Consider the following 23135-nt stretch of genomic DNA (forward strand, 5'->3'; position numbering starts at 1 on the left):
GGCTCAGTCACAACCAGTAAAATTTAGCTGGAATAAATATTGAAAAAAAAAGTTTTTCTTTTATATTGTCCTCGAGGTCGTGAGAATATAAAATCTGGAGCTGCTTTGCCATTGGGCAACAATCAGAGATTTGCCTCTCTGAAACCGGAGTAAACACAGAAAAAGTTGAGAAAGATACATTGGGTCCTGTTTGTGTGATTTAAACCTCGGCCTCAAGATGTGCTTAGAACCAGTTCTCCTATAGACATTTCCATTGTGTGATGCAGTATGTTTTCCTTTTGCCAGTTAAGCAAAAGGACTTAAGGTTTCTTTTACTTACAAATGAAAGAGTTTAATTAATTAATTTATTTTTGACACAGGGTCTCATTCTGTCACCCAGGCTGAAGTGCAGTGGTGTGATCACGGCTCACTGCTGTCTTGACCTCCCCAGGTTCAGATGATCCTCCCACCGCAGCCTCCCAAGTAGCTGGGACTACAGATGTGCACCACCATACCTGGCTAATTTTTGTATTTTTTGTTGAGATGGGGATTCACCATGTTTCCCAGCCTAGTCTCAAACTCCTGGGCTCAAATAACCTGCCCACCTTGGCCTCCCAAAGAGTTAAGATTACAGTCATGAGCCACTGCGCCCGGCCTGAAGGAGTTTTAATTGAGAAAATTTCTTTATGCTCAAAAAGAACATTTTTAACATTCAAAAAGATGAAGTTAGCTTATTGGTATATCAGTAGTGGATTTGGATAGTTTTGATGAGGTACAAGTTAGAGCCCTATAGGATAATTGTGTAGGTAACAACCATAGGTAATAAAATTATCGATCCCTTCCCTCACTATTCTGTTAACCAGACCTTTCTGAAGAGTATCTTCATATCAATAAGTAGTCCTAGGGGCTTCTTCATGCCTTCTTGCTATTCTTACCCAGAAGTTCAAGCAGTAGTAAAAGAAAGACACTTTTATCCTAAAAGATTTTACGTCTTGCTCATTCCCAGGACTGACACATGTAAGTGAATATCTTTCAAGTATATTAAGTGTTCCCCTCAATACTGCAGTCCACCCATTGTCTAGAAAACCTCATACCTTTAAGCCCAGACAAGTTTCTTCCTGGTTATTTTCCCTGGGCCTGGAGAAGAGAATGATTTAGAAATTATGCAGCTGTTTTAGGACACACATGTACAGATGCAGAAAAACAATGAAGTCGGGAGTCCAATAATAGAGCATCAGAGACCTTGATCTTGTTAGTCATACTGAAACAAAAGAAAAGTATACAAAATGTGACATAATGTTTTATGCACATGGCAAAAAGTCAGGATTCTGCCAGAGCTGTTTGGTGTCACCCCTTCAAATGCCTTCTCAGTATCTCACCCCACTATTGTCCCTTTGTTGACCCCACTCATCAGAGCACTGTCTCTGGTCTCCCTAACGTAGTGAAATTTACATTATATTGCCAAATATGAGCCCGACAGTAATCCTCAGGAACATAGGCAATGTATTAACTATAAAGAGAAACCTCAGCCTTCTGGGCAGATACAGAAGCTACATAATGATGCAAAGTCATTACGTAGAGAGGTAATCAAAAGTGAGATGGAAATTACATACAGACATAGTGAAAATTTGCTTCACACCTAGGAAATACAAAGCAAAGACCCAACTCTTGAGACAGTGATTCCCAAGTAGTGCTTTCTACTAGTAATGGGCAATTATAGTAGATTCTTTTAAGTTAAGGTTAAAAGAATTACAATTAGGGTTAGTGCTGTTGTTTCTAAATCTCAGATATGTGGCTCTTTTGAGTAGTATGCTCAAACAATTTAGCCTGGTGTACAATTTCCTTCCCAGTTATATTCTATGCTTCTTTTTCAGCATCATGAATATTTTCTTCCATGTACCTGTCTGCCTTGCCAACAGGTTTTTCTTATTTCCACATGGAATGCACTTACAAGGCTGCAGCTTTCACCTGCGATGCCACAGTCACTGGTCTTCTGAACAGTTATAACCTCCTGCATCCTAGCTCAGGAACCAGGCAGGCATAGACTTCAAGGGAGGCTATGCCCTCTCAGGCCCCAGGGAGATTCAGGCATGAATTATCCTATTCCAATTATTCCAAAAATTTAATCAATGATGGAATGGGAATGGGAATATAACCACTGTAACAAGAGCAGAAGGTTCTTGTAGAGTTTCTAAATTTTGGGTTCTTACAAAGAGAAACAGGAGAAGGCATTGCTCTCTTCTCCTTCCAGCCACTGGATATTGTTGTATGGGTGTATGATGCTTGAGATACTTTAACTATCCTGCCACCATGGATAAAGTCAAGTAAAGGCCAAAAGGCAGCTTACTGAGAACTGCAGAGGGAAGAGATGAGAAGAAACTAAGTTCTTGCTGGCAGCACTGAGTTAATAAATTATCACTCTGGAGCTGCTCAAGCACTGGACTTTTGATCCTGTAGGTGCAATGGGCATTTGTCTTCCCTTGTGAATATAAAACAATTCAATATCCTTTCCGTGTTAGGACATTCTTCTCTCTACAAGTAGAGCCAGCCATACATTATAAAAGCTAAAATTATTAGTTGTATGGTTTCTCATTTTCTCTTGCATCTTGGGCATGGGAATGCAAGCTAGATTCTGCCCCATAATTTTAACAGGAGTCACTGACATGAAGGAACAAGGAAGCCCTGTGAGTAAAGGTGATGGAAGCACCTGCTTCTGCATTCACGTTCCAGAAGCAGCTGGGTAGCATTGCTAGAGCATTATTTCAGGTTGAACTCTGGTTAGGCCAGTGGTGAAAGATGTGCTTGCCATGCCTAGGGGTTATGGCAATGCTATCTTCATAAAACTGGTTTTGTGAGATGATTTCAGTTTCATCCTTGGCTACATAAACTCTAAACCTTTATCTCTGGTTAACTTAGCGATTTTGAGAGCCATCTATTCAAGATTATTTTTTCTTAAACCCACTGGAGTTAATTTCTATTATCCACAACTAAGAACTTTGAGCAATACAAAGATATAGTGCCTTTTAATTTTTAAAGTTTTTATTGTTGAGCAATTGGTTTCCTATTTTTGCAGCTGAAAGCTTTCTCACAGATGTACACGTTCTATTCCTTTGGTTGGAAATCTCTTCTCTGTCATTGTCACCATAACAAAGGGGACTGGTTGTTCTACAAAATATTGGTTCTGTTGAAAATATATTTAAGAAATGTTGTTTAAACAAGGTTAAATGGATTTCCTTACTACAGGACATCTCAGAATGTTATTATGTGTATGGATTGTGAATTTCCAAGAAAGGCATGTGAGGAAGTTGAAACTTACTCTTTGTTCTAAAGTCAGCATTTAGGGTGACAGTCATATAAAAGTCCATAAGAAGGCACCACTTTAGAAAATGGCACATAATCTTTGTAAGTTCAACAAATCAGTCTTTCTTCCAGAGTTGAACTGGATGACTATTTGGTTAAGTATTAGAAGAGGCTACCAACTGTGGGCTGTGTAATATACATTTTTTTAAAATTGATCACATTCAGCAGAGCATAATTAAAAGATTTCAGTATGAGAGGTAATTAAACTTAAAAACTAAGAGAAATTAATTCCTATCTCTTATATGCTAAGTCTGGGATGTGTATTCATTGAGTTTGACTGATAGGCAGAATCGCATATATTATGTAAGGTGTTTCTCACTCTTTCTCTTTGTACCTCTCTCCCTTCATCTTTCTCTTTCCTTAAAACACTATCACATGACAATGAATAGTAACCGTCCATGTGGGGTAGAAACAAAACACACTCTCTTGGTGTCATTGCAATTAAAGATCCTTTGGTAGGGCCAATCTTAAGTGGGAAGAAGTTACCGGGATTTATATTGTGCAACTACATTAGTGCCTAGTGGTCTTTTCTTTTTATCAGAGAGAAAAAAGGAAAAACCTATTTTCCATATGTCCATTATAACTTTACTTATAACAAATGGATATATTGGTATTTTTGCATGCTATTATTGGTGTTTTGAGACTTTAAAAATACCATAACCTTTACTGGGATATGAGCACTTGTGGAGAGAAGGAGAGCGAGCTTGGAGAATCAATGGTGAAGTGGGAGGCTCGGCAGCACCGATGTTAAAATTCTCTTATTTCACTATCTCACCTGGAGTTGGAAATATATAATACCTAAATGTTTTCATTAATGAAGTGTATTATCAGTGTTATTATCATTAGTTCTGACTTTTCTAGTGCTTTTTCTTGCTTTTATTTTTTGGAGACAAGGATGCTTTTCACTCAGTGCTGATTTAAAGCCAGAGTTCCCAAATTTATCAACTAATATCTCAACAAGCATGAGTCTCTAACATCCACAAGGCATACACTGTTGCAGTTACAAAGAATTGTCAGACAGAATTTAGAATTCTTCCATGAGAAACTAACTTTGTAGTTTTGGCGGTAACAAAAAATGATTATTAATTTCTCCCCACAGACGGCCACCAGGTTTACTTAAGTGATGATATCTTAGACAACAGTTCTAATATAAATATATTTCTTAACACTGTAGAAGGATTATTTATTATCACCTTTTTCCAAAGTCTTATCTAAGACTAAACGCTCCTGATTATAACATGTCTTTAATGAGTTCTTTTATTTTATTCTAATTTTGAAAGACTGCGCTCCCTGACTTAACCTAGGGCTAAAATTGAGTATCAAAATCCCACTGTGGTTTCTGGTTCATCAGAAAACACACAGAGCTCCCCCAAAAGGCTTATTTCTCTACTTTATAACAGAGAAGTGAGTCAATCTGGGATAACTAATGCTTTCTGGTCTCTTTTAATTATTAGAATGCAGGGCTCGGGTTTGACAATGACATTGCGAGGCTGATGCAATTCCAGAGGTCTAAGGGTGACGATTTGCTGAACAGGGAAGAAGACAACATTTGCAATGCTCTTCACACTTTTGATTCACTGCTCTTCTTCCTGCCTCACTTTTCAAGCTCAGACTTTTCTTGTTAATACTCCACCCTTTCCTGACACAGAGGTGCACTATTTGTCTTACGGTAGTCTTTTTCTCTGTTGGATGCAGAGTAGCTCTGGTCATGTGGCTTAGAAGTCATGTGTCATGGTCTCCATGTCCTGAAGCTTTCATCTGGTATTTTCTGACAAAAGATGCCACAAAGTAGTCACTGGGTAACTCAGCTAACTTATTATCTCCTTCACTGGATTCAGCCCATTGTGTTGCAAAAATAATCTTATACAATATATTTCTCCAAATCCAGAAGTATATGTTTCTTGCATATGGGGAGCTCCTTTTGACATCTGTAGGAGCCTTATATCCATAAAAAGAATAATGCTTGGAACCACCTTGGCACTATTTTTTTCCCTTTATGGGTTATTTTAATTATAGAATTATTACCTCCAATTGTAATCAGGATGTGTATTAATCTTTACAGGAGAACTATATAATTGCTTGTTAAATGTTTCTAATAGTTATTAATATAATAATAATTATTAATAAAACTAGGGTTCAGAATTTCCTCCTTTCATTATTTATTACCTAGGAAAAGACCAGAGAAAATGGTGAATACAATAATGTAAATTAAAAAAAAGATCTTGCCTTCTTTTAGAGCTACATTGATTTAAAATGCATCATTGACAATATCACCATCATTCAAAGTACTGTGCTTTATTCAGGTGGCAGGTTGTATTTGCAAATGCAAAGCTCATCAGAGAGGGCTTCTTTTTTCCCCCTTCAGTCCCAGAAAACTCTTCTGTTCCATTAAAATGAAGAATTAGAAAAATTATTTTTAAAAAATCAGCCTGAAGCTGTCTCTTTTGTTCTTTAACATACACTATTTCTATTGAGGGTTTCAAATGGAATTGATTCTGGTCAGATGCATGAGACTGGACAGTCCCCATTTTGAAAAGTTACGTATTCTGCATTACTCTTCTGTCCATATTTCTGAGTGTTCTAACTAGTGCATTGCTTAGGCTGTATTGGGTGGTATCTGATCAAAGTAGTTCTAATCCCAGCATTTTCAGGATGACTTACTATATTTGTCCTATGCCTGCTTTTAAGGTAAAAAAAAAAAATGAGTTTTGCTTTTCCCTTTGTGTTGTTTATTATGTAAGTTCAATAAAAATAAAAGAAACACAGAGATGAGGAGTTTCTTGGAATAAAGCAGTTGTGATGTTTGCATATATTTGTAAAATATTCCTTCTGATTCTGAAGAATTTATAAAAGTTTAAATATAATTTATAGTTTATACATATAAAAAACACATATATATAAAACAAAGGTAAATGAATTATATATTATATACTTTAAAAAAGTAAGAAACAAAATAATGTAACCTTGTTTAACATTTTAATTTAAAAATAAACAGAGCAATCTATTGCTTTATTACATGAAATGGTGTTATCTAGCACAAAGATTGAAAAACTAAGGCCCACAGGCCTGGTATTCATTTTTGTAAATGCAGGTTTTTTGGAACACAGCCATGTCCATTTATCTGCATATTGTCTATAGTTATGTTTGCCTAAAATGACAGAATTGAACAACTGCAACAGAGACCATATAACCCACAAAGCCTACAATATTTATTCTCTAGCCACCTAAAGAAAGAGTTTGCTGACTTCTAATCTAACACATGCATAGGTAAGCCAATATTCCCCAAATTTAGAGGTTGAATGCTGTAACTGTCATATTTTCTAAGGGTAAATTATAAATCTATTTTATCTTCAGACAACCAGGCATGAGACTCAACAACTAGAGCCAACATGTACAAAGAAAGAAAAATTATATCTCAGAATGCTTAACATTGGTAGTACAAGCCTCCACCACTTGAGCTGTAAGGTAGGAAACTTCTATTAGACACTGAAGGAGCTATTCATTATCTCTGCAAAAGATCTCTCTTCATACAGTAGAGAGCAAAAGCGTCAGCCATTACACCAAGTCTTTTATACCTTATTCTAATGTAAAATGGCAACAAGACCTGTGCTAGCTAACAGGAGGTCTACAAACTGCCCTTTCATAAAGCTCTGTCATTCTCAGGAGGAATGAGTCCAGAGAAACGAGAATGTGGGGACAGTCTTCAGTTAGCCTACTTTTTGCTTTCAGGTCTTGCTTTGATCCTGTATTCATCCCACGATGTGTGTTTGTTAAATTTTTAATTCATTGAGAGTTGTATACAGCACCATTAAAACAATCTTTTCACATTTAGTCGTCCTGCAATTAATGACGTCACCACTTGAAAAACTGGCTTCATTAACTTTAATTTTCCATTTGCTTTTCTGTCACTGATTGTTTGAAATATAACCACTCATTATTTCCATTCTCTTTCATCCACTGTTTTAGACTTTATTATTCGGCATTTTTCAGATATATTTTTATCCTAATGGCCACCGAATTGTCTACTTAACAGTTGTTGACAAACACAGTTGTTCTTCCTAAAAAGTAATCTTCCCTTTATTAGGCATCTATGTTTCCAGTGAGAGCATAAAAGTTGCAAAAATATGATATTGATATTTTCAATATGTAACAGTCTGCCTTGGTTAAAGATCTAATCTCTATGTTTCTTTGACCTTATAACCTTTTACCTCAACTTTCAGTCTGTGTTCCATTTAAAAATGTAAATATTATTAGTGCGTATAGGAAAGATCACCTCTGTTTGAAAATTGCATATAAATAACTCCGGAGGACTGGAAAGGGGCCTAGGCTAGAATCACTGCATAAGGATTAGGTCTGTATTACATTAACTACAGAAAGAGAAAATTTCATACATTAACATGGAAAGAGCTAGTGAGGTGGCTTGAGCTGAAATTATAAACAACACAGATGTGGGCCAGTAAATGACACTCATGTTGAAAGCTCTTTTCTCCACTGTTGTCTGTCTGAATTTTAAGTATTGTACTAGTTATTAACTATCAATACAATCAGGTAATTAAAACAAAATGAAGGTTTTGCTTATGCTCCAGAAAACTGAGAAATCTAATAATTCAAGTCTAGGGGTCTAATTTCCATCCTGTTACATATCTCCTGAAATGACCAAAGGAATATAAAAATAGACATTCATATGCATCAGTTAAAGGACCAGAGGAGGGTTATTATTTCCATTGTCAGAAATAGCAAAGTATTTCTGCTAGATTTAGTGCAGATGAAATGACAAGGCACCGAAGGCTGGTTCGAAATGTCCCTCTGGAGTAAGTGGTTCAGACTCTCAGGAAGTAATCAGAGGACAGTCTGCCAGACCACTGACACCTTTATAATTGGAAGGATGAACATGGGAGGCAAGGAGATTCTATGGGGCAAATGGAGAGTTTAAATTTGGTATTACTTCTACTGCTGTGGATAAGGAGCATTTGTAAATAGTTGGTTGGGGGACACCCCAGCATTTCCTTATTTTCCCAGTAGAAATAATAAAAATAGTCATATTTATAGAGAGTTTATTATGTGCCAGTTACTTTTTTAAATGCTTAACATGAATTGTCACACTTAATGCTCCTATTGACCCTGGATATAGGTACAGTTATTAAATGAATATTATAGGTAAGTAAATTAAGGTATAGAAAGTTTAAGTAACTTGTCCAAGGTCAGATAATGAGTAAAGGAACTAAGATTTACACTCTGGCAGCCTGACTTGAGATGACACCCTCAAATGCTATTTTATATGACCTCCTAGAAAGTCAGTGGTGTCACTAGTTCTCCTAGCTTCTTGACAATACATGAGGAATTCAACTGGGTATGGCATGTCTGCTTTTTGCCAGATATAGCAAACAAAATACAGGATGCCCAGTTACATTTGAATTTCAAATAAACAATGAAAGCTTTTTTAAAAAACTGTCATTGCATTGTCCTGCGCAATATTAGGCACATACTTAAACTAAACATGTATTCGTCATTCGTCTGAAATTAAAGTTTAACCAGGCATTCTGTATTGTATCTGCCCGCCCTAAGAATGGCTCCTTAATGACAAGAAGGCAGCCAAACCAGAAGGAGGCATAGGAGCAGCCTCACAGCAAACCAGGCCTTGAGGCTGGGTAGAAGAGACCTGGCCACTGTATTATGGTGCTCAGCTTTGCCAAATACAGAAGAAACTGCACAAAGAACTACTTTCTATGCTGGGAAAGTTCTGTGTTTAAGCCTGCCCGTTGCTTCTCTCCAAAAGTTGGGTTTTTACATTGCTAATGTAAATTTGCATGTACCAGCCCTCCATCTGAATATCTCACAGCACAAATTTGGGACCAACTGAAGAAATAATGCTGGGCCCTAAACCGAAAAGCTGTGTTTATGAGCAGACTTCCAGCCTGAATTTCTGTCTCTTCTTTCAAGAATAAATGAACAAATAAAAATTGCAGTGAAGATTGTGAAGAGATTCTGCAATATGAAATAAAACAACTTTTAGGAAGTATCTACTTTTATTGCGTAAAAAATCCAGAGAAAGTAGAGGTAAATGTTTGACAGTTTCCACTTTGGACTATCAAAAATCTAATATAATCCAATACTAATCAATCACCTACTATGAGTGTGACATGCTCTGGTGACATAGACTAAAGCAAAGGTGGTGCCATCAAAGACATTTTTGTAAAAGAAATTATAGTAAAATAAATGAAACAGTGGGTATTGGCAAGTATTGTAGAATGAATGAATGAATAAATAAATAAATAAATCTAAAGGAAGGGAGAAAGAAGAACTCTTGGCCGGGTGCGGTGGCTCACGCCTGTAATACCAGCACTTTGGGAGGCCGAGGCGGGCAGATCACGAGGTCAGGAGATCAAGACCATCTTGGCTGACACAACGAAACCCCGTCTCTACTAAAGGTACAACAACAACAACAAAAATTAGCTGGGCATGGTGGCATGCACCTGTAGTCCCAGGTATTCCGGAGGCTGAGGCAGGAGAATCGCTTGAACCCAGGAAGCGGAGGTTGCAGTGAGCCAAGATTGCGCCACTGCACTCCAGCCTGGGTGACAGAGTGAGACTCCATCTCAAAAAAAAAAAAAAAAAATTAGCCAGGCGTGGTGCCACATGCCTGCAGTCCTAGCTACTCAGGAGGCTGAGGCAGGAGAATCGCTTGAACCCAGGAGGCAGAGATTGCAGTGAGCTGAGATCATGACACTGTACTCCAGCCTGGGCAACAAAGTGGGACTTTATTAAAAAAAAAAAAAAAAAAAAGCAAGACAGGACATAAAAAGAAATGAGTAGATGACTAATGGGATTTTAATCTCTCCCTTTTTAGAGAGAAGATGAAAGAATTTTTATTTGTACATTGAAAGCTATACTATTGCAGAGTATATTTTGTCAATCTTTGCTGTCACATGAAGGTCAAGATCAAAAAGAAGGATGTGTATAAAGTTGAATATCCAAAGTAGAAGATTGAGAAAGACCTGCTTGCTCCATACTCAACATCCATCTAAATTCCTCTCAAGGTGGCTTCTGAAATTGTAGATGGTGGAAAACCACATCTTATTTCCCGACCCTGTCACAACTAAAATTCTGGATATGAATAAAGTCCACTACTAGATAAGCTCCAGTGAGATTTAGGGGATGGAAGTGAAGCAAAAGATTTTTCTATTTCTACTGGAAATCATCGTGAAAAAGTCGTGTGCTTTATTTTCTGCTACATCATTAGCAGAGGTCCTAGTTCCTGGCTACTAGATTCATTGATGTCAAGTAAGAGTGTGTGGCATCTGTTGTGCTGTATAGATTGCAACAGGCATAGCATTGGTTTGAAGCTGGTACCATGGAAAGGAAATTTCCTGATGGTGTTGCCTTACTGATGGATAAGAGTGGTTTCTGGCCAGTAGTAGTGGCAGCAAGATTCTGGAGCCTACAGTACATGATTCTGGAGCCTATAGTAGACCATGTTTCACATCAGATGATGGTTTTTTCATCACAGGGGAAGTATCGTCTCCCTTGGTGACCAAGTTCCACGGTGTGCTTATAGGAGTTATTCCTGAAATCTCAACAATAATTTGTTTCTTCAGAATTTATGGCAGTTTTGTAAGCCATGTACTCTGTAATACATCTATTTCAGCTTATGCTAGCTAGAGTGAATTCTGTTTCCTACAACAAAAATCTAAACATACAAAAGGCCTGACAACAGAGATTGAGATGAGAAGTAAAGAAGCATGAGAACAGGCTGGAAAAGAATGTGTAGAGAAAATCGATCGCAAGGCTAAAAATGAAATTTAAAAATTTAAATTTGCATTAAATGCAGTAAAGATTAGAAATCATATTGCAGAAAGCTAAATAGTGCAGTGATAGACAAACTTAGGAAGCCCTCCAGAAAACAGGAGAAAGACGAATGTTTATTTAAAAAAAAATCAACAACAAAAACAAAACAAAAAACAGTAAAACAGGCCAGGCACAGTGGCTCACGTCTGTAATCCCAGCACTTTGGGAGGCTGAGGCGGGTGGATCACCTGAGGCCAGGAGTTCGAGACAAGCCTGGCCAACATAGTGAAACCCTGTTTCTACTAAAAATACAAAAATTAGCTGGTTATGGTGGTGGGCTACTGTAATCCCAGCTACTTGGGAGACTCAGGTGGGAGAATAGTTTGAGCCTGGGAGGTGGAGGTTGCAGTGAGCTGACATCACGCCATTGCGCTCCAGCCTGGGTGACAAGAGCGAAACTCTGTCTCAAACAAAAACAAAAACAAAACAGCAAAACAATGTGGTAGACAAAGATATCATGGGATATTAAATATGCAGATAATAACTTTTACATAGGAGAAACCAGAATTAAAAAATACAGTAACTATAAATGGGATGATTGGGGCAAACAAAATACAAAAGAAAACTTTATTCAGAAAACTATAGATATGAATGTGGAGAACACCGTCTTCTCTAAAGTTTCAGGTAAAATTTCCTTATGACATGTTGGAATTTAAAGATAAATAAAAAGTACATGAACATCCAGGCCTAAACAAAAACAATCTTGCAAAGGCTAGTTTCATAAAAAGACAGAAGCAAAGACTTTTTGCTGTATAACATCCAGTGACAGAGCATGATGAAATGTGTATAAAACTTTGAGGGAAAATTTTTTATAAGCTAAGAACTATAATGCTAGCCAAATTATATAACATCAATAGTAGGAGCTTGTGACACATAAGAACTCAGAAGCATGCCATCTATAGGGCCTTGCTGAAAGCAGTTATGCAATAACCAGATAATTAAAGTAAATAAATGAAGACTATGGTAGATGTAATATAATCTACATTATTTCCCCTACAGGGGAAACCCTGCTTACAAAATAGAAGTTAAAGTTGAAAGAGAAATTACTTGGTGGCTGGCAAGATGGCTGAATAGGAACAGCTCCGCTCTGCAGCTCCCAGCGAGATCAATGCAGAAGGCAGATGATTTCTGCATTTCCAACTGAGGTACCTGGCTCATCTCATTGGGACTGGTTAGACAGTGGGTGCAGCCTATGGAGAGTGAGCCGAAGCAGGGTGGGGTATCGCCTCACCCAGGAACTCCCTCCCCTAGCCAAGGGAAGTCATGAGGGACTGTGCTGTGAGGAAAGGTGCATTCCAGCCCAGATACTATGCTTTTCCCACAGTCTTTGCAACCCGCATACCAGGAGATTCCTTCAGGTGCCTATGCCATGAAGGCTCTGGGTTTCAAGCACAAAACTGGGAGGCCAATTGGGCAGACACCGAGCTAGCTGCAGGAGTTTTTTTCATACCCCAGTGGTGCCTGGAACACCAGTGAGACAGAATCATTCACTCCCCCGGAAAGGGGGCTGAAGCCAGGGAGGCAATTGGTCTAGCTCAGTGGATCCCACTCCCACAGAGCCCAGCAAGCTAAGATCCATCGGCTTGAAATTCTCGCTGCCAGCACAGCAGTCTGAAGTCGACTTGGAACACTCCAGTTTGCTGGGGGAGGGTCATCCGCCATTACTGAGGCTTGAATAGGCAGTTTTCCCCTCACAGTGTAAACAAAGCCTCCGGGAAATTCAAACAGGGCAGAGGCCACCACAGCTCGGCAAAGCTGCTGTATCCAGACTGCCTCTCTAGGGCAGGACATCTCTAAAAGAAAGGCAGGGGCTTATAGATAAAATTCCCATCTCCCTGGGACAGAGCACTGTGGGAAGGGGCAGCTGTGGGCACAGCTTCAGCAGACTTAAAGGTTCCTTCCTGCTAGGTCTGAAGAGAACAACAGTTCACTTAGCACAGCGCTTGAGCTCTGCTAAGGGATAGACTGCCTCCTCAAGCAGGTCACTAGATCTGTACAGGAGCACCCAGATTCATAAAGTAAGTTCTTAGAGACCTACAAAGACACTTAGACTTCCACACAATAATAGTGGGAGACTTTAACACACCACTGTCAATATTAGACAAATCAACATGACAGAAAATTAACGAGTATATTCAGGACTTGAACTCAGCTCTGGACCGAGCAGACCTAATAGACATCTACAGAAAACTACCAAAATCAACAGAATATACATTCTTCTCAGCACCACATTGCACTTTTTCTAAAATTGACCACATAATTGGAAGTAAAACACGCCTCAGCAAATGCAAAAGAAGAGAAATTATGACAAACAGTGTCTCAGACTACAGTGCAATCAAATTAGAACTCAGGATTAAGAAACTCACTCAAAACCACACAACTACATGAAAACTGAACAGCCTGCTCATGAATGAGTACTGGGTAAATAACGAAATTAAGGCAGAAATAAATAAGTTCTTTGAAACCAATGAGAACAAAGACACAACATATCAGAATCTCTGGGATACAGCCAAAGCAGTGGTTAGAGGGAAATTTATAGCACTAAATGCCCACAGGAGAAAGTGAGAAAGATCTAAAATCGACACCCTAACATCACAATCAAAAGAACTAGAGAAGCAAGAGCAAACACATTCAAAAGCTAGCAGAAGACAAGAAATAACTAAGATCAGAGCAAAGCTGAAGGAGATAGAGACACAAAAAACCCTTCAAAAAATAAATGAATCAAGGAGCTGTTTTTTTGAAAAGATGAATAAAATAGACCACTAGCCAGACTAACAAAGAAGAAAACAGGGAAGAATCAAATAGGCACAATAAAAAATGATAAAGGGGATATCACCACTGATCCCACAGAAATACAAACTACCATCAGAGAATACCATAAACACCGCTATGCAAATAAACTAGAAAATCTAGAAGAAATGGATAAATTCCTGGACACATACACCCTCCCAAGACTAAACCAGGAAGAAGTTGAATCCCTGAATAGACTAATAACAAGTTCTGAAATTGAGGCAGTAATTAATAGCCTACCAACCAAAAAAAGCCCAGAACCAGACAGATTCACAACTGAATTCTACCAGAGGTACAAAGAGGAGCTGATACCATACCTTCTGAAATTATTACAAACAATAGAAAATGAGGGACTCCTCCCTAACTCATTTTATGAGGCCATTATCATCCTGATACCAAAACCTGGCAAAGACACAACACAAAAAGAAAATTTCAGGCCAATATCCCTGATGAACATCAATGAGAAAATCCTGAATAAAATACGGGCAAGCTGAATCCAGGGGCACATCCAAAAGCTTATCCACCACGACTAATTCAGCTTCCTCCTGGGATGCAAGGCTAGTTCAACATATAGAAATCAATAAACATAATCCATCACATAAACAGAACGAATGACAAAAATCACATGATTATCTTAATAGATGCAGAAAAGGGCTTTGATAAAATTCAACACCCCTTTGTGCTAAAAACTCTCAATAAACTAGGTATTGATGGAACGTATCTCAAAACAATAAGAGCTATTCTTGACAAACCCACAGCCAATATCATACTGAATGGGCGAAAGCCGGAAGCATTCCCTTTTGAAAAACGGCACAAGACAAGGATGCCCTTTCTCACCACTCCTATTCAACATAGTATTGGAAGTTCTGGCCAGGGAAATCAGGCAAGAGAGAGAAATAAAGGGTATTCAAATAGGAAGTGAGGAAGTCAAATTGTCTCTGTTTGCAGATGACATGATTGTATATTTAGAAAACCCCATCGTCTCAGCCCAAAATCTCCTAAAGCTGATAAGCAACTTCAGCAAAGTCTCAGGAGAAAAAATCAATGTGCAAAAATCACAAGCATTCCTATACACCAATAATAGACAAACAGAGCCAAATGATGAACCAAATCATTCACAATTGCTACAAAGAGAATAAAATACCTAGGGACACAACTTACAAGGGATGTGAAGGACCTCTTCACGGAGAGCTACAAACCGCTGCTCAGGAAATAGGAGAGGGCGCAAAGACGTGGAATAGCATTCCATGCTCGATAAGAAGAATTACTGTCTTGAAAATGGTCATACTGCCCAAAGTTATTAATGGATTCAACGCTATCCCCACCAAGCTACCACTGACTTTCTTCACAGAATTAGAAATAATTACTTTAAATTTCATATGGAACCAAAAAAGAGCCTGCATAGCCAAGACAATCCTAAGCAAGAAAAACAAAGCTGGAGGCGTCATGCTACCCGGCTTCAAACTACACTACGAGGCTGCGGTAACCAAAACAGCATGGTACTGGTACCAAAACAGATATATAGACCAATGGAACAGAACAGAGGCCTCAGAAATAACACCACACATCTACAACAATCTGATCTTTGACAAACATGACAAAAACAAGCAATGGGGAAAGGATTCCCTATTTAATAAATGGTGATGGGAAAACTGGCTAGCCATATGGAGAACACTGAAACTGGACCCCTTCCTTACACCTTATACAAAAATTAACTCAAGATGGATTAAAGACTTAAATGTAAGACCTAAAACCGTAAAAACCCTAGAAGAAAATGTAGGCAATACCATTCACGACATAGGCCTGGGCAAAGACTTCATGACTAAAACACCAATAGTAATGGCAACAAAAGCCAAAATTGACAAATAGGATCTAATTAAACTGAAGAGCTTCTGCACAGCAAAAAAAAAAACTATCATCAGAGTGAACAGGCAACCTACAAAATTGGAGAGAATTTGTGCAATCTATCCATCTGACAAAGGGCTAATATTCAGAATCTACAAGGAACTTAAACAAATTTATGAGAAAAAAATAACCCCATCAAAAAGTGGGCAAAGGATATGAACAGACACTTCTGAAAAGAAGACATTTATGCAGCCAAGAAACTTGAGGAAAAGCTCATCATCACTGGTCATTAGAGAAATGCAAATCAAAACCACAATGAAATACCATCTTATGCCAGTTAGAATGGCCATCACTAAAAAGTCAGGAAACAACAGATGCTGGAGAGGATGTGGTGAAATAGGAATGCTTTTACACTTCTGGTAGGAGTGTTAATTAGTTCATCCATTGGGGAAGATAGTGTGGTGATTCCTCAAAGATCTCGATCCAGAAATACCATTTGACCCAGCAATCCAATTACTGGGTATATACCAAAGGATTATAAATCATTCAGCTATAAAGACACATACACATATATTTATTGCAGCACTGTTCACAATAGCAAAGACTCGGAACCAACCCAAATGCCCATCAATGATAGTCTGGATAAAGAATATGTGCACATAAACACCATGGAATACTATACAACCATAACAAAATGATGAGTTCATGTCGTTTGCAGGGACATGAATGAAGCTGGAAACCATCATTTTCAGCAAACTAACACAGAAACAGAAAAACACTACATGTTCTTACTCATAAATGGGAGTTGAACAATGAGAACACATGGACACAGGGAGGGGAATATTACACACCTGGTCCTGTCACGGGGTCGAGGGCTAGGGGAGGCATAGCATTAGGAGAAATACCTAATGTAGATGATGGGTTGATGGATGCAGCAAACCACAATGGCACATGTATACCTATGTAACAAAACTGCACGTTCCGCACATGTATCCCAGAACTTAAAGTATTAAAAATAAAGGAATAAAAATTACTCACAAATGCATCTTGAAAGTAAAGATAAATAATGGGAAAAATAATACCTTAATTTTAATAAATTTGGTTTGTACATATCCATAGAGTATTTGTTATTATGTATTAAGACAAAGGTTTTTCAACATGTTCCAAGACACACACTTTATTTGAATACACTGCCATTCATTTACAACTACTTTCACATAAAAAAGGGAGAAAAACACTCCCAAATAAATTTTTGTACAGAGAGAAAATTGAAACTTCAATTACATAATATTCAGAAAAAATAGAAAAGACAACACTTCAAACTAAAACATATGTGGCTAATAATATAAGTAGAAGCAAAGTCATCACTTTAAAGGCTTTCATTATTCAGCAAGTGAAATAAAATACATAAACTGAGCATTTTTTTCCCAGAGGTTATGTTAGATAAAAAGAACGTTAAAGAAAACAGAAGGTTTGAGTTAAAAAGCATAAAAGCAAAAATTACAAATTAACAAATGAAAAAACAGTGGAATTGATATCTACAAGTTGGCTCTAAAAATAATACACACACACATATATATGCATATAATATGTTTATTTTAATCAAAAAAGACACAATGGGATATTAGGAATATATAAACTACAAATCTAGAGATTGGAAAAGTAAAAACCTAAAATAATCCAAAGCATAATTCCATTCTGACAAATGTTGGAATTTCTAAATGAATGATTTCCAAGAAAAGAAGCCTAAAAATTTAATGCAAAAATTTGAGAAAATAAATAACTATATGAAAATATTTTTGTGGTACTTATACAATATTGAATATGATGCAACTGTGAAAAAGAACAAAATCGTGTCCTTTACAACAACATAGATGCAACTGGAGGCCATTGTCCTGGGAAATTAATGCAGAAACTGAAAACCAAATACTATATGTTCTCACTTATAAGTGGGAGCTAAGCTTTGGGTACTCATAGACATAAAGATGGAAACAACAGACAGTGGGGACTACTAGATGAGGGAGAGTGGGAGACAGCTAAGGGTTGAAAAACTATTTGGTACTGTGCTCCTTACCTGAATGATGAGATAATTTGCATCTCAAACCTCAGTATCATACACTGTACCCATGTAACAAACCTGCACATGTACTCCCTGAATCTAAAGTAAAAGTTGAAATTATATGTTAAAAAACTAAACTTTAAATATATTGACATATAATTGCATGGCTGAATTTTCTCTAAGTTTCAGGGGTTTGAAAACAAATTTCAAAACTGCGTTAATTATTCCACCAAATGCTGTAAGATAGAAACAGACCAATTAATTTTACCAATTGAACATACTCATGATATCAAAACCTGAGAAACTACATCTAACACAAACTATGGGCTAATTTAATTTATAAATAGAAATCCATAAATTCTAATAGAATGAAGCAGTGTATTATCAAATATTTTAAATCAGTTTCATCAGGTTTTATCAAATAGTGTTTAACGATAAAAGTGTATCAATTATTATGTTTCTACATGTATATGTTTGTATGTAAAAAGATACCTTCTTTTGACCTAAGGATCTTCTGTGATCAAAATGTAAATAATTTATAAAATATGAATAAATATTTTATGTAAAACTTTAAAGGAAACGTCAAAATATAATTTAAAAAACCTTTGCTCTTTAATAAACTATATTTTAATAGATTGGAATAAGTGGAAAGACAAAACATTTCTTAGGTAGAAAGGAACACAGTTGGAAAAATTACAATTTTCTTCAAATAAACTTATTTAATTTAACTTAATTGCAATTAAAGTATCCATTTTCTTTGTATGTGATTCTAACATTTTTGTCAATAAAAACAAGTAAAATATGCAATTTTAAAAATGAAGACTAGTAAAGAGTATAAATACTCATATATGATTATAAAATAATATATACAATATATATGAGTATAAAACATCAATACATATTACAGGTAAAATATAAGTGTTTTATAAAACCAAATGTTAAATGGATGGAGAAATAAGCATTGGGATGCACTGAAAATAGGATAGTGAATTTCCCAAAACTTTTGAGGACTATTTGACAGAAATATGTATTTAAAAATCAGATACTTAGCTCAAAAATTATATGCCTAGAAATTTTCTCAATAGTTATACTTATATAATTATGACAATATATGTATATACAAAGTTGATCATGCAGCAAACCACCATGGCACACGTTTACTTATGTAACACTCCTGTATATTCTGCACATGTACCCTGGAACTTAAAAAATAAAAAATAAAAATAAATCTTAAAAAGTTGATCATTACTGTATTAATTGCAATGAAAAAATTGTAAGGAAATAGGTAATATAAACTAAATATATAATAAGTAAAATTAAAGGGAAATAAGTAATCTAAAATCTATTTGTAGAGACTTATTTAAATAAGTTTCAATTTATTCATACAAAGGAATATAATGCAGCCATTTTAAAACTGAAGCTGAACTATCAGTCCTCATAAAATAAAATCTTGGATATATATTTTGAAGCTGAAGAAAGCAAAGTTGAGAACAATATTTTAGTGTGATTTCACATGTTAAACAATGATATATATCTATTATTTTGAGACATAGGGATGAAAGTTTATTAGAATGAGAGTCAAGCTCCTCTAAGTCCTTAGTACTTATTCCTCTTGTGTGCGGGGTATTATGGAAGCTACTGTCTGATATTTCCAGCATGTGTCTCTATTGCATTTATTTTAAAAGTTTTTATTTATTTTTAATTTTATTTTTGTTGAGACAGTGTCTCCGTTGCCCAGGCTGGAGTGCAGCGGTGCAAACACAGCTCACTGCAGCTTCGACTTTCCAGGCACAAGCCACCTTCCCACCTCAGTCTCCAAAGTGCTGGAATTACAGGCATGAGCCACTATACCCTGGTAAAAGTTTCTGAAGAGCATATTTAAATAAACAAGTATTATAAAACTACGATTTTAAAAATAGTGTTTCCTTTGTATATGAATAAACAGAGATTAATGCACAAACTAGAACATCCAGACACAAATGGCTTCTATGGTAATCAGGAACAGGTGTTTTCAAATATATGCCATAGCAAGGTTTTCTGGAGTGCAATTTAGCCGAATTACCCTACAAATGTAAATACATGTTTACTTAGTAAAGTTACTTCTGGAAATAAAACTTAATAAATGAAGAAATAGATATTTGTACAATATTTCTATAGCTAAATATTCATTTCAACATTACAAACTGAAAAATAAAAACAACTTAAATGTAAAATAATTAATTAAATAAGTTATAGAACGTAGCCATAATATATTATGTGAATCACAAAGTCAAGAGATCAAGACCACCCTGACCAACATGGTGAAACCCCATCTTTACTAAAAATACAAAAAATGAGCCGGGCGTGGTGGCGGGTGCCTGTAGTCCCAGCTACTCGGGAGGCTGAGGCAGGAGAATCACTTGACCCAGGAGGCGGAGGTTGCAGTGAGCCAAGATTGTGCCACTGCATTCCAGCCTGGTGACAGAGCGAGACTCTGTCTCAAAAATAAAATAATAATAATAATAGTATTAGAAAGCACTTTCAATCTATTATTTTTAATAGCCTTCTTGTTATATAATTCATATAACATAGCATTTACCCATATATAGTGTATAATTCAATGAGTTTTACTATATTTACAGAGTAGTGCAACCATCACCACTACATAATTTACAGTAAGGTACAATTTTTTATTTGAGACCTTGCTTCCTAAATATAGGCATTTACAATTTTAAGTTTCCTTCTAAGCATAACTTTAGCCATATACCATGCTTTAGAATTATGTGCTCTCACTTCATCTAAGTTTTTTCTAGTTCCTTTGTGACTTATTTGACCCATTTTTGTCTCAGGAGTGTGTTGATTAATTTCAACATATTTGTAAAGTTTTAATTTTGTGTGTGTGGTTGATTTTTAATTTAATTCCATTGTGTTGCAAGAACATGGCTCTCATTATTTCAATTCTTTTAAATTTATTGAGGCTTCTGTTATGATCTAACATATGGTTCATCCTGAAGAATGTCTTTTGTGTGCTTGAGAAAAATGTGTATTTTGCTGCTGATCTATAGTGTTGTTCAAGCCTTTTATATTATTTTTGATCTTCTACTTCCTTTTTCTATCCGATATTGAAAGTGGAGTATTGAGGTCTCTGCCTTTTGATGGGATTGTGTAATTCTTTCAAAATTAATGTTATTATTGATATGATTATATTTACTTCTAGCATTTTTCTAATGGTTTTCTTTGTGCATCATGTCTTTTGTGTTCCGCTCTTAATACTTTACTACATTTTTTGCATTAATTGAATTTTTGTGTAATATTTTAGTTTCTTGAGCAATTTTCACTATATATAGTTACTTTCTTAGTGGTTTTTCTAAGATTTCCAACATACACTTAAGTTACAAGAATTTTCTTCATATTTATACTAACAATTCCAACGTAATATAGAAATTTACTCCTTTATAGCTCTATCCCTTTTCCTTTTTGTGTTATTATTATATATTTTACATTTATGTATTTTGCAAACAAAAAATTTACGCATTTATTACTTTATGTAATTTTTGATCTATTAAAATGTGGAGAGAAGAAAGGAGATAAAGTACATACTTACAGAGCTGGGTATATTAGCTTTTAGGTTCTCTTTATTTTTCCTGTGAACTCATTATAATCTGACATCGTTTTCTTATTCCAACACAGTTTTGTCCCTACTAATTTTTTCATGATGTTATTGTCAAATGTGCTTGATTTCTATATGTTTTAGCCCCAATGGTAAAATTATATACAAATTGTTTTATGTAGTTTTCAAATAAGCTAAAAGAAGACATGCACTTATACTATATTTTAAAATTAGCAAAATATTTGCCTTCACTGATGTTCCTTTTTTTTTTTTTTGCCTGTGGACCTAATATAGTATTAAATGAAAAGCACATTGTTAAGTGAGGATTATCACAGTGAATAGCATACATCTCATTTTTTATTTGTAAATAAAATTATTTGGGATAAAATATGGCAAAATATCCACTGTGATTTAGATTTGTTTCAATTTCAATATTTTTCTCATTATCTTCACTTATTATTTTATTTGTACCAATTTCTGTAAAAGGAATATATGTTATTTTGTAATAATAAAACTTTGCTTTAAAATACATACATATTCTTCTAAGGGGGCACATTCTTTGTTTTTTTTCTACATTTTCTGTAAATATTCCATCCTATCCACTTAATTTCAGGAGGCTTGGTGAAAGCTACAATATCTCTAGACCATCGTGGAATGTCTATGGAATATCACAGACACTTATCATTTATAATCATCCCAGCCAAAGGATTTACTTTACTCAAAGAAGAGTGTTGCATCTTGCCAAGAAGAAAAAGTTGATTCTATATATAGAAAGTCACATAGTCTCTGCCCAAACGGTCTTAGGTCTGCTGAACAACTTCAGCAAAGTTTCAGGGTAGAAAATCAATGTACACAAATGAGTTGCATTTCTATACGCCAATAACAACTTGGCTGAGAGTCAAATCGAGAATGTAATTTCATTCACAATAGCCACAAAATAAATAAAATACCTATTAATACAGCTAACTAGGGAAAAGAAAGTACTCTACAATGAAAATTACAAAACATTGCTGGAAGAAATAAGAGATGACACAAACAAAAGGAAAAATATTCCATGCTCATGGGTAGGAAAAATCAATATTGTTAAAATGCCCATACTGCCCAAAGCAATTTACAGATTCAATGCTATTTCTATCAAACTACCAATGACATTTTTCACAGTATCAGAAAAAAAAATTCTAAAATTTATTTGGAACCAGCAAAGAGCCAAAATAGGCAAAGCAACCCTAAGCAAAAAGAACAAAGTTGGAAACATCATACTACACAATTTCAAACTATACTACAAGGCTACAGTAACTAAAACAGCATTGTATGGTACAAAAATAGACATATAGACCAATGGAAAATGTTAGAGAACCCAGAAATAAAGCTGCACACATACTACCATCTGATCTTTGACAAAGCTGACAATAACAAGCAATGGGGAAAGGACTCCCTATTCACATGCAGAAGATTAAAACTGGACCCTTACCTTTCACCATATACAAAAATCAACTCAAAATGGATTAAAGACTTAAATGTAAAACCTAAAACTGTAAAAACCCTGGAAGAAAATCTAGGAAATACCTTTCTGGACATTGGCCCTGGCAAAGACTTTATGACAATAACTCCAAAAGCAATTGTAACAAAAACAAAAATTTACAAGTGAGACCTAATTAAACTAAAGAG

This window comes from Homo sapiens, chromosome 7 (genome assembly GCF_000001405.40).
Source record: "Homo sapiens chromosome 7, GRCh38.p14 Primary Assembly".
Taxonomy (NCBI): Eukaryota; Metazoa; Chordata; class Mammalia; order Primates; family Hominidae; genus Homo; species Homo sapiens.